Source organism: Homo sapiens, chromosome 7 (assembly GCF_000001405.40).
Source record: "Homo sapiens chromosome 7, GRCh38.p14 Primary Assembly".
In the NCBI taxonomy this organism is placed as follows: Eukaryota; Metazoa; Chordata; class Mammalia; order Primates; family Hominidae; genus Homo; species Homo sapiens.
Window position 1 is genome coordinate 134,272,965 of NC_000007.14, and position 12,132 is coordinate 134,285,096.

At 38.0% G+C, this 12,132-nt stretch overlaps 1 protein-coding gene across 1 annotated transcript in view; it reads left to right on the forward strand.

Moving 5' to 3' along the window:
• The window catches only part of LRGUK (leucine rich repeats and guanylate kinase domain containing), a 149,346-nt gene extending 145,625 nt beyond the window's left edge, over positions 1-3,721 (forward strand). Inside the window, exon 20 of the mRNA XM_024446659.2 lies at positions 2,398-3,721. Coding sequence (XP_024302427.1) covers positions 2,398-2,489 — 92 coding nt within the window. The 3' untranslated portion in view covers positions 2,490-3,721. The remainder of the gene's footprint in view (positions 1-2,397) is intronic.
• The last annotated feature ends 8,411 nt before the right edge of the window (positions 3,722-12,132 follow it).

Genomic DNA, 12,132 nt, shown 5'->3' on the forward strand with positions numbered 1-12,132 from the left:
GTTTCAAGGCATCAGGGGAGACATTAGGTTCCTCCCTGCATTCATAAGAAAGTCTTGAGTATTGTCTATTTGCCAGAATGCATGCCTGGCTGTGGCTGCATCCCCATCATTCTGACCTCTCCAGGTGTGTGAACAATCTTCTTCATGGAACTTTGGTTCCCTTCATGAAAGCACATAATAAGCCAACTGCTCCCTGTGCCAAGAGTCAGGCTCAGCCCTTCTCTGCCTTGACACACACCTGGTCTTCCCCTGACTAGGGGAAGACATATTGGGATGTAGACATATTGAGAACTTGGCGAACCTGATGCCTGGTAGAGCTCTCTATGGTAGAGCCAGGCAGTGGGCATGAATGCCCTTCCTCTCAGAGTCCCACATTCAAATGAGATTTCTATGGTAAACTGGTCCCTGAGGTTATGCCTCTGAAGTAATTGTTCTCAACCTTGTGTGCATAACAGACTCTTTATAAGCTCCCAAAATACCAAAGCCCACTATCCATCCCAAGCCAATTAAATAAGAATCTATGAGCAGGGAAGCTCAGGCATTGCACTTTTTTTTTTTTAAGTCCCCAGAGTGAGTCCAGTGTGCAAATAGGTTTGAGAACCGCTGCTCCACAAGGTTGAATGGGGGCTTTCTAGAATGATTTTGGCAAATTTTTTAATTTTTGGCCTTCAGCAGTTTATGAGTGATCATATTAACATACCCTCATTAGCATAAAGTGTATTATACTTTTTTAGAATTACTAATTTGTTTGTTGAAAAATATGTTATTTTACTGATTAGGTTTACTATTGTTCATATGCTTATTTTTTATTAGTATTTCCTTCTGAACCACAAATTGTTGGCTCATGTCTTTGTTACATTTTTATTCTGGGATGTTGGTGTTTTCTCTTATATTTTTGTGAAAGTGATTTAATATTAATAATAGTCTATTCAATATTAACTATGTGGTTCCCATTTGTTATAAATATTCATCTTAATTTGTTATTGGTCTGCATTTATTTTAAATAGAGAAGTTTTTAACTCTATATTTTCCTATGTAGTGTTTGGTTGTGTATACACATCCTGTCTTCCACAAGCAGCACTGTCCAATAGAGCTTTCTGTGATGATGGAAATATGTAGAAATATCTACTTCGTCCACTATGGTGGCCACCAGCTCCGTGTAGTTGTTGAGCACTTGAAATGTGGCTGGTGTGACTGAGGAAATGAACTTTTCATTTTAATTAATTGAAAGGTAGATAATCACATGTGACTAGTGACTACCATATTGGACAGTGAAATTATAAAGGGTTTATCATTATGGTTTTGTGCTTTTTGACCCAACAGTGATTTTGAGAGTTTTCTTCCTTATAAGTTCTAGTTTTGGTGAATTACAATAAAGAAATAAAAGTATGGCTTATATAGTTTATATTTCTAAATTTTATTGATGTTCTTTTTGCCTTAAGATAATGTGGTCAATTTTAGAAAATCAGTGGAATTGAAAAGAAAATCTGTGATATAAAATGTTGCTATATCTACTAATTCAATTTTACTGATTATGTTATTTAAATTACCTAGATACATCCTCTTATTTTTATCAACTTGTTCTGTAATAGATGGTGTGGGATTTTAGTACCTAATTATAATTGTGTTTTAGTCTCTTTCTTATATATCAAATAGTTTTTTGCTATATAAATTTTGATGTTATGTTAATCAGCTCATAAATGCACAGGACTATTATATTGCAATTACAGATTTCATCTTGTTTCAATGGAAAAGAGTCCTTTTTGTTTCATTGTTGTATTGAATTGTTTTTGCTTTGAACTTTCCTTTGAAAATATCAGTGCCACCTGTGCTTATTTTTATTTGCCTTCTATACCTATCATTTCAATCTTATCTTTTTAATGTAATTTAAGTTTGGTCTCACTCTTGATCTTCTTTAACTCAATTCAAATCTGTCTTTCATTTCAGTTGTAGAGCAAAACTATTTTTATTTATTTTTCATACTAAGTTCAGTCCTATTTCTACCATTTTGTTTTATATTTTTTATTGAGTTTGACACTGATGTTTTGCTGTTTCACTTATTGGTTTATGCTTTTTGCTATACTTTTTTTGCTCTTTTCATTTATAGTAATTTGGAAGGTATATTTTTCTCTACTCTGATGTATATCATGGTATTTAATTTTTTTCATTTCTCCCTGTCTTTCCCATTCCCACAATTATAAGTTTAATTAGAAATTACAGACTCAGTTTATAGAATCTCATCTCCATTTTTTTCAAATACATCTTTAAGAGCTATTTTGGCTTTATATTCAATATTTATGTTACTGCAATTCTCTCTGAACTTTTTAGTAATTTAAATGTTTACTACCAATTGTTTTATATGGTAACTGTCTCATGGTCAAATTCTTGATCTAAAAGCCAGAAGAGAAAGTGAGGGGAAGGGAGCATTTTGGAATATATACAGTAATAGAAGAGTCTGCTTGATTTCTGTATTCCAGCAGGAGAGATGAGAGGTGAGAAATGACTGAATTTTTTTCTTTGCATTTATTTTGCTATTCCCAAGATATATATGCTTTTTCTGTTATGCTCAGGATACTTTGCTTAGTGGAAATACCAAGACTTTGGCATATGGACTCAACTTTAGATGTTATTTCTAGTGCCAGTTACCCTTGTTAATGTTGAAGTTTTTTCCTGGATTTTATCAAGCTGTTGTCTTTCACCCCCTTGATAAATTCATTGAATGAGAAGTTTAGGAGAGGTAGCTGCCAATATGCTACCACATTAACCAGGTTTATCTGCACTCCAATTTCTAGAGAGCACTAAGTTTTCAAAAGTTCATAAAAATGTGTGTATTTATGTATTTTTATATCATCTCATTCCAAAAATATTTGAGAATATTTAGTAGTAAATTCAATTCAATTAGATAAGGCACAAAAAGGACAAGGATATTGGGGCAAAAAGAAAGAAAAATGTTTAATATATCAAATGCAAGCTCTAATTGTTAGAATCACAAAATGAAGCTTCCTGGTAGCCAAAGCAAAGAAAGAAGCAAGCTCCATTCCACAGTATCAAGACTCATGGTGACCCTAAGACCTTAAGTCAAACAATTGCTCAGAAGCAGCACAGCTTTTCTTGATAATGACTTCAGAGACTTACTTTCCCAGTTCTCCCAAAGAGGGCACTGTATGAAGGTATGGACCACACTCTCAGTAGCTTACGGGCATTAAATACAGTCTTGAGTTTGACAAAGCCATTTCTATTTCTTGTAATGACATATAATGTCGACTATAGAATACGAAATCACAATTCTCCCCATCCCCACCAAAGGCGTGATTTGACAGGCATGTCTAACTATGTAGGAAGGCACTATTATAGAATGATTCACTGTGGGAGACTGCTGTCAGAATTCCTGAGTTCAAATCCTGGTTCAGCCCTTTGCTAGGAGTCTGACTTTAGGCAATTTACTCCGCTCTGTTTCTTCATCTGTTAGGCTCGGTCACGGAAGGACCGATGGTGGTGTCATTCACAGAAAGGTGGGGGACAGGGTGGGGGAGATGGATGGGGACATATCATGAATCAGGTTGAACAATATCAGGCAGGCCTCTAGCCTCAAGTCCTCAATTCTCTGGGGCTGCATCTTGGAAGAGAATTAATAATCAAGTGGTGGAAAATAGAAAGGAAAAAAAAAGAATTCCATTGATTCTAAGAGGATATTTTTCACATTTTAATATCTCTAAACTCAGGGCACATTTAAAAATTGATGGCATGCCATGGCTGAACTGGCAGCATTGTTTCTCTTCTTGGTGGAATAGAAAATGATGGTGTATATGACAATGCACCACATCCTAGATTCAATAAATTATGGTAGCAATAATTATTGTAAGAGGCCGGCCGCTCCTCAGGGGCAGCCAAGGTCTGTCTGGGGAGGTGACATGGATCCGGCTAAAGTTCTGGCAATCCAAGAGGACCATGTCTGTCCAGTTAGGGTGCTGTCAGGTGAGAAGGTGTTCAGCAGAAGCACAGTTCTCTTATTTTAAGAGGAATCCTTCCTAAGGCTAATCCTTGCTGCCGTTCCCAGCATCCTCATAAGGATGAAAAGGAACCAAGGAGCTGCTGCATATAGCAGGAAACTCCTTTTGTTTGCCAGGGAGAAGAGTCAGCCACAAATACACATGAGCATATGCAGGTCAGAGGGAGGCAGGGAGCAAGTTGACAGCCTGCCAGGGGCCTCTCCAGTACCACTTCCCTATGGTTATATGTTTTTTTTTCACCAGTCAGCCAGGACTGCGGAGAGATCATCGCCAGTGGATGCTTTCTCTGACCTTTCCTTCCTGCATGCTGTTGGGAAGACTGGCCCCAAATCCAACGGGAAGGATATCAGAGACCACCGAGTTTGGGGCACAGAGAAACTCACAAAAATGTGGGAGAAGCAGAAATAGCTACACCATACCCGTTTTGGAAGAGGCTACATCTACATTCAAGGGAAGTTTATGCCCCATTCCCCTTGAACTGTCCATGTAAAGCGCTTGTCAAATGATCGATGCTCCATATAAACATGAGCTATTTTCCTTTTATAAGTTTGTTTGCCCAGACAGGTTTGGAAGGTATGGAAGATCTATTAGGAAATCCCAGAAATGCAGCTCTGCATTTCATGGTGTGTGGGAATGCTGGGGGAGGGGAAGACCTAGAAGTGTCCCTGTAGGTTGAGAGTTCCATGCACCTTGGTCTGCCCTTGGCTGTCCCAGTTTATGTCTATTGTCTCAGCAAAATTATTAACAGAGGTCCCTGTCACCCTCAAAAGTATTCTCATGCAGACAATAATTTCATGATCACTCTACAGGTGGCTCATGTGAGTCCAACTTTCTGTTTCCTTTCATACACGTGAGAAATAATTTAAATATAGAGAGATTAAAAATGGAATCAGTAAGATATTCAAATGCTTGAGAACAAGAATTTCAAACCCAAGAAATCAGGAATAAATAAAAACACACATAAAAAATAAATACCATAGTATAGGATATTTCTATATTAGACTTGTTAAATGTAGACACTTGAGAAGTTAAAAGATCTATCCTAAACCAACAGTTCAAACTAAGTATTTTTAAGGTATAACATTAAAACATGTAATAATAAATCTTAAAGGACAAAATAGAGAGCCTAAATATTTAAATAGATAAATTGCACAATAGGATGAATATGAATAGAAAACAAAAGAATAAAAATAGAGTGAGAAAATCTCATTAAAGCAATGCACAGCTGTAGGTAATACACACATATATATGTTTACATTTGTAATATATGTATAGATACATAATATTTATCTCCTTAGCAAAACAAATAAACCAAAATCTAAAAGAGAAATGGGAAAAAATGAAAATTAGGCCTTAGCTAGAAGTCTATGAATAGCAACAACTCTTAAATTCTGTGGTCAAATGGTCTTCTCACAGCGCGGTGCCCACGCAATGTCTGTGGCAGGGGGAGAAGAGGTGTGAGGGCACCTGGAAAATGTACCTTTCCTTCCTCTCCCAAATCACATCAAATCCCCTAAAACAAACACTTCTCATAGCAATATTGGTGAGACATTGCACGCATATTCGTACATGTGCCATTTAGATTTCCAAGTGCATAAGCATTCTATGTTATCATTTTTTACGTTTCTGAAAAAAACCTTCCTTAAAGAAGTTGATTAATGAAACTATCCCAATCCCAAACACTATTAATAGCACAGGGTGTTGTTTAGAAAGATGATGAAATTAACACACAAAGAACAGCTACTCAGTACAAAAATCAGCCTAGCACCAGACAGGATCTATGGTATTACTCTTTTTAAAAATCATATGCAGGAAGTTTCGTCAAACAAGAACTGTAAAAAATGAGAGCAATTTGATTAACTAATTACAATGCTTCCATCAATCAAAGTGGCTCCACTAAGGTCATATACAACTTGGTTGCATTTAAGGAGAAAGGTCTGCAGTTACACATTTTCTCTTGTTTACTAACGTAAAAGACTTCAGGTTTTTTATTAACCCAGGCAGTCGTTGGCATGAGAGATTAGTTTTGCAATTTGATGAGGTACATTCCACAGCACGTTAAATTAGAATCCCAGATACTAAAGCCCCAAATCTAATTTTCACCCTGGTTTATAAGGTTCTCTTGAAAATTCTATTATCCTAATGCATGCCTCTTATTCTCTAACTCCTATAAAAGACCATGCCAATTATAAAGTCAAAAATATTCTGAATTGCCACTGTGGAATATTTAAATTTTTATATTTACTGGATCATTGAGCTTAGGTACAAAGCTCCAATCTATTTACCTAAAATTGCAGTTCTTATAAATTGTAGCAAAATTCTGGATCTAACTATGAATTCTGTCAAATAAGGATTTGATTGAGCCACTCAATTTGCCTAAATAATAACTACACTTGCTTGTTCTTGGGCAGGTCCTTAAAAAACTAATCAGTATATGGTTCAGAAAGCCAGAGGATGGAGGGAAATGGAGAAACAGGGAAGGCAAGATAACAGAAGGTGAAGGATGCTGCTTGATTTCATTGCACCAGTGTTGACAACATGACTTTCACTTATGAAACTGAGCTACGTACGGATGAGAGTGTGAGCATTTCCTGTAACTTTCCCCAGGACACTCTTTGCCCAGATCACCAAAGTGCTTGCTCCCTCATCTTCTAAGATATTTGCTCACGCATCAATGTCTCAGGTCTTCCCTGATCATCCTATTTAAACATCTGTCTGTCTAGAGCCCCCACCTACACCCCACATCTTTCTTTCCCTGCTTCATTTGTCTCCAGAGCACTTTTCAACATCTAACATTTATTTTAATTATGTATCTTGTTTACCATGTATTTCCTCTTATTAAAATGGAAGCCCAGAAAAGCAGAGATAACCTCGATTCTAAATTTCTAGATTGTGATTACCTTGTTTGGTTAATAGGACATGTTGCTTGATGTTGCTAATTATTGAGCTTTATGAAAATGCTATCATTCTGTTTGTTGTCTTGTGAGCCTGGCTTTTTATGCTCAACATTATGCTTTTGAGATTCAGCTTTGTTGATGGCTGAAGCTATAGTACATTCATTACTTTTCTACTTTTCCATTCTCTTGTCAACAGCAATTTTGGTCTTTCCAGTTTTTTGCAAAGCAAGCAGTTCTATAATGAAAAATCTTACATATGTCTGCTGGTACACATGTGAAAGAGTTTTTCTATGGGTATATCCAGGAGTGGAATTTCTGGTTGCAGGGTAGACAGGTCTTCTTATTTCCCAAGTGGGCTCTACCAATTTGAGCTACACAGTAGTATTTAAAAAGTTTCTGTGGGTACACTGTTTGTCCAAACTTAATATTTTCCAGCTTTCCAATTTTGGTCAATCTGATGAATGTAATGTGATATGTCACTCTGGATTTAAAAAGCATTTCTCTAATTATTAATGTAATCAAGCATCCTTTCATATTTAGTGACCATTGGGTGTTTTCTGTTCTGTGAAATTCCTATTTTTGTGAAATATTGTTCATGTCTTTTTTGCCTGTTCTTCTATTTAGTTGTCTTTTCCTTACTGATTTTAGGAGTTCTTTCTAAATGCTGTCTATTAATATTTTATCTGTTGTACGTACACAAACATGTTCTCCTAGTTTGTGGCTTAATTATTATCCTTTCATCTTTTTCCCCCCTCTCTTCCTTGTCATACTTTCCCCTGGAATATCTATGGATTTGGAACAGGAGGAGAACCCATTCATGTCAACTTGATGCGTCACATTATGCAGAAATTCCCAATAGACACTTCCTTCCTCTTAAATTTTCCCATTCCTAGCATTTTTGATAGCCTTTCCTAGATAACTTTTCAAAAACAAAAAAACAAATTGCTAACCCCTCTGGTGTGCAAATTATTCTATTTCATTATTAAATTGGGGAGTAAAATAATTATTTTTATTTCTTCCTTTGAGCACCATTTGGAGTTAAACCAATTTCCAGTATTCCTCCATAACCTTAACTAACTGAACACAATACATAATTTATAGGTAATTTGACAGCTGCTATAATGCTTAGCACATTTTAATGCCATTTGTTTCTTGGAATTCTTTGCATAAATGATACTCTAAGAGTCAAAGCTTTCCTTTTGTTCTTAATTTTTCCTTCCTCTAAGCTTTTAATTTTGCATGAAATTTGACATTAAATCTATAAAGATTCTTGTTCCAAGATTAGATCTAGATTCTTGGTCAATGATAACATTTGTAAGAACAGGGACTCTGTTGATTTTGCTCAGCAATGTGCTCCTGGTACCTAGCATCTTATCTGGCACCTAATAGCTTGCCCAATATATACTTGACTAATGATGTAGGTAAAGTATACAGCACAAAATTGTCTTTAAGAATCTTAAATATTTACACTCTAGGGACTAATATGTCTGTCTCTAGAGATATATTCTAGGAATGAAATCAATCTGATCAGTGCAGACATATTTACCTACAAAGATGTTCATGTGATTGTTATTTATAATAAAGTTTGGAAACGGTGAATGTTAAATGATCAACAATAATGAATTTGTTTAAATAATTATGGAACATCTACATAATAGACTGTCATAAAGTCATTAAAACTCACATTTTCAAAGAAAATTAGAAACGTATACAAAACAGTGCTAAGTGAATAAAACAACATAGAACTGTATATTTAGTATGATACTATTTTGGCATATGGCATATAGGTGAAGGAAAAACTGGAAAGAAAAATACTAATATTTTTCAGTAGTTGTCTTTGGTTAGTGAGAACTACCACATCACACGGGTTGGAGGCATCTTGAAATCAGTACCAAGCTGTTTCAGCTACGTATTTCTACAGCTTAGCTCAGTGCTTGTGAATTGTGGTACTCAACAATTAATGAATTAGAATAGCACACTTAAAAATAATCAGAATTCTTAATCCTGCATGGGCCTTTTCAGTAACTTGTCATTGGTCATGTATTCTAAAACTTCATGTATCAGCTCAAGTTTCTGCTTGCAAAACAGGGGGTGGGCCATGCCCTCCAAGGGCACTCTGGGGACTGGAAATGGCAGAGGCACCTCAAGGAGTTTTCATTATCTCCTTCGAATGCCTGCGGACTGTGCTGACAAAGTGTGTTGTGGAATCTGTGCCTTAGCTGCTTGAATTGAACTCAATACGCAGCATCCACAGCAGAGCGTGTGTGTTTTTGTCTGATTTGAAATAGAAATATTTCCATTCACTCTTGGTGGGAGATTGTCAAACACAAGGCACTAAACATACTGAGCGCAGCAACGCTGGCTTCCATGAATTATCTATTATACCGTGGCTACATTTTGGCTACTTAAGGATGATTTGGGGATATGTTCTCACTCTAATTTTTTTTGTATTACCCATTGGCTGCCAGTATCTGATCCTGGATTGACTATGCATGACTCCAGCAGTGGTTACTGTGGGGCCTGGGCTTCCTGGGCCATTCAATTATAAGATCATGTATTAGTCTGTTTTCACTCTCCTGATAAAGACATACTTGAGACTGGGTAATTTATAAAGAAAAAGAGGTTTAATGGACTTACAGTGCCACATGGCTGGGGAGGCCTCACAATCATGGTGGAAGGTGAAAGGCACGTCTTACATTGGCGGTAGGCAAGAGACAGAATAAGGACCAAGCACAAGGGGTTTCCCCTTATTAAACCATCTGATCTCGTGAGACTTATTCACAATCACAAGAACAGTATGGGGGAAATCGCCCCCATGGTTCAATTATCTCCCACCGGTTCCCTCCCACAACATGCAAGAATTATGGGAGCTACAATTCAAGATGAGATTTGGGTGGGGACACAGCCAAACTATATCACAAGTCCTCTGGCCTGAGAGCCCTAGAGGTCCTCTGGCAGAAATGATGCAGAAGACTTTGGGAAAGTAGGGAATGTGTTCCCGGTTCCTCAGCAGAGGGCCACTCTTATCTGTAATCACTCTCAGATAAGATCTTCTAAGATTGGCTGATATTCCTGTGGCCACCCAGGAAGGAGAGATTCTCCTTCAGCATCGCAAGTCAAGGAATGGGCATGGACGCAGCAGCAGAGACAAGGCGACCCCACAGACCACAGAGGGCACAAGCCACACCATCTCCTTGAAAGAGTTGGTGGTGGTTGTGGTGAGTCCTCTTGGAATCTAGGAAAATAATAACAGGAAGACAGAAAGCTCTAAATTAAGGAGGTGCCCTAATCCTTCCTCCACCTCAAGGCTACACTTCCAGTGTTTCACTGTGATCTGCCTCTGCCATTCATTTTTCTTCATTAAAATCCCTTTGCCAAGCTTTAATTTCCCCACTCCAAGCCCTTTGTGGTCTCTTGCCTGAGGTAAGCCAGGGGTTTGGACCCAGGGAAATGCTCAGAGTTAAACGCCCAGGGGTAGCCAAGGCAATGTTTCCAGGGTCAGGCACTGGAGCTGCAGGGTCACCAGGCTTCAGGGACCACAAGAACCAATAATGGGTAGAAATACAGAAGACCCCATTCATTTTTTAAACATCACATTAGACTCCTGGGTTTTTGTTTGGCACCAGGGAAGTGAGGGTGCCTTAGCAAAGGTGGAGCTTGAGAGCCCTCCCAGTCTGGCAGAATGAGGGCTGGAAATGAGCTCTTGAAATCAAAGTCTTCATAACAATTCTATGCACCATTCCTTTCACAACCCAGTTTGTGGTGCAAAATTCATACCCATTGTACTCACGCCCTCCGGGGTTGTGAGGAGTGTACCAATAACAAACTTGGGCTTCCCAAAGACTTTAAGGACAAATTCCAAATGACATCAACAAATATGGGAGTCAAAGACTCCCATAAAGCAAGAAGTTTTTTGTCTTCCAGCAGATAACAGCAAAGTGTTAATGTTAGCATTGGCGAAATACCTTCTGTCACTGTCAGCTGCCTCGGTTTTCTGTTACCCCTAAATGCCATTCGTGGTTTTATATTCTACCAAGCGTGCCTCTGTTTACATAATTAACAACTTCTGCAGTGGTTAATGGATGAGGAGAAAACTCTCTAAGGAGGCGATCTTAATTCAACCCACGTCTCCTACAGGAAGACACACGCTTCTATGCAAAGCGTAGACATGACATGATGGGGGATTTACACACGGCCTTTATAGAGTAATTTACTAGCAAACTTGGGTGTATATTATTGTAAACTGCTGTATACCGTGTGATTACAAGATTAAGAAAGAAGGAGTGAATTGCTAATCTTGTCAGTCCAACTGTTTTCTTTCTTGATAACATTTGCGTTATTACACTTTGGGTGATGAAAGACTGTAATTGGCTGTTGACACTGATTGAAGGAAGGAGACGTGGCTTTTTCAAAAAAGAGAATTAATTAGCTTGGTGAGGGGGGTAACAATTCAATCTACAGCTCTCACAGCTGCAAAACAGAAGTGAACTGTCAAAGAGTGTTTTCATCTCTTTCTTTCCCACCTGCTTTTCTCCTTTTGATGACATCTTTTCCTAGATTTAACACATTTAAAATGGGCTCACCAAAGAAAGAGGTGTGTGGGGTGGAGGGAGCTGAGGAGCCTTCAGAGGAAAAACAGAGAATGTAGCTTTCAGGATTCACAGCAGAAATACTGTAAATGTGAGTGTGTTCCATTTGCATGTGTTTAAGCAATGTTGAAGGAAGACGTCACAGACAGATGAAGCTCAGCTAAATCTCTTTATGCCACTCAAGTTGTTTTAAACCAGTAACGAACACCTGAGACCTCGTTGCTTGTCTGGCAGTCGGACAAGGATAATCTAGGTAAGCTGACAAATCCTGGTTTACTTGGTTGAGTCTCCATGGAGGCTGATTGTATTAATGAAAACTTGCTGTCCTACAAGATATAAGGTATGCTTGAACTGCAACCGGTTCAATATGGCACCTTTTCACCCACAAGAAACCCCAGGTCCAAGAGTTAGGAGGCAGAAGTGAATGGCTTCTCATTGTTACCCATAATAACCCCTTGCAAAATTTTTATTTCTGATCCCCACAACTTCAAGTGCTGCTGGTCTGGAAGTTTTAGTTCTCAAGGGAGGAACGCTGTCACCAAGGAGTACAACAAAGGTTTAGTTGAGGAAAGAGTTGAGACTGCCACCTGGTCACATTTGCCTTTTTATGCCCCTGAAGCAGTAGACAAGAAAGAC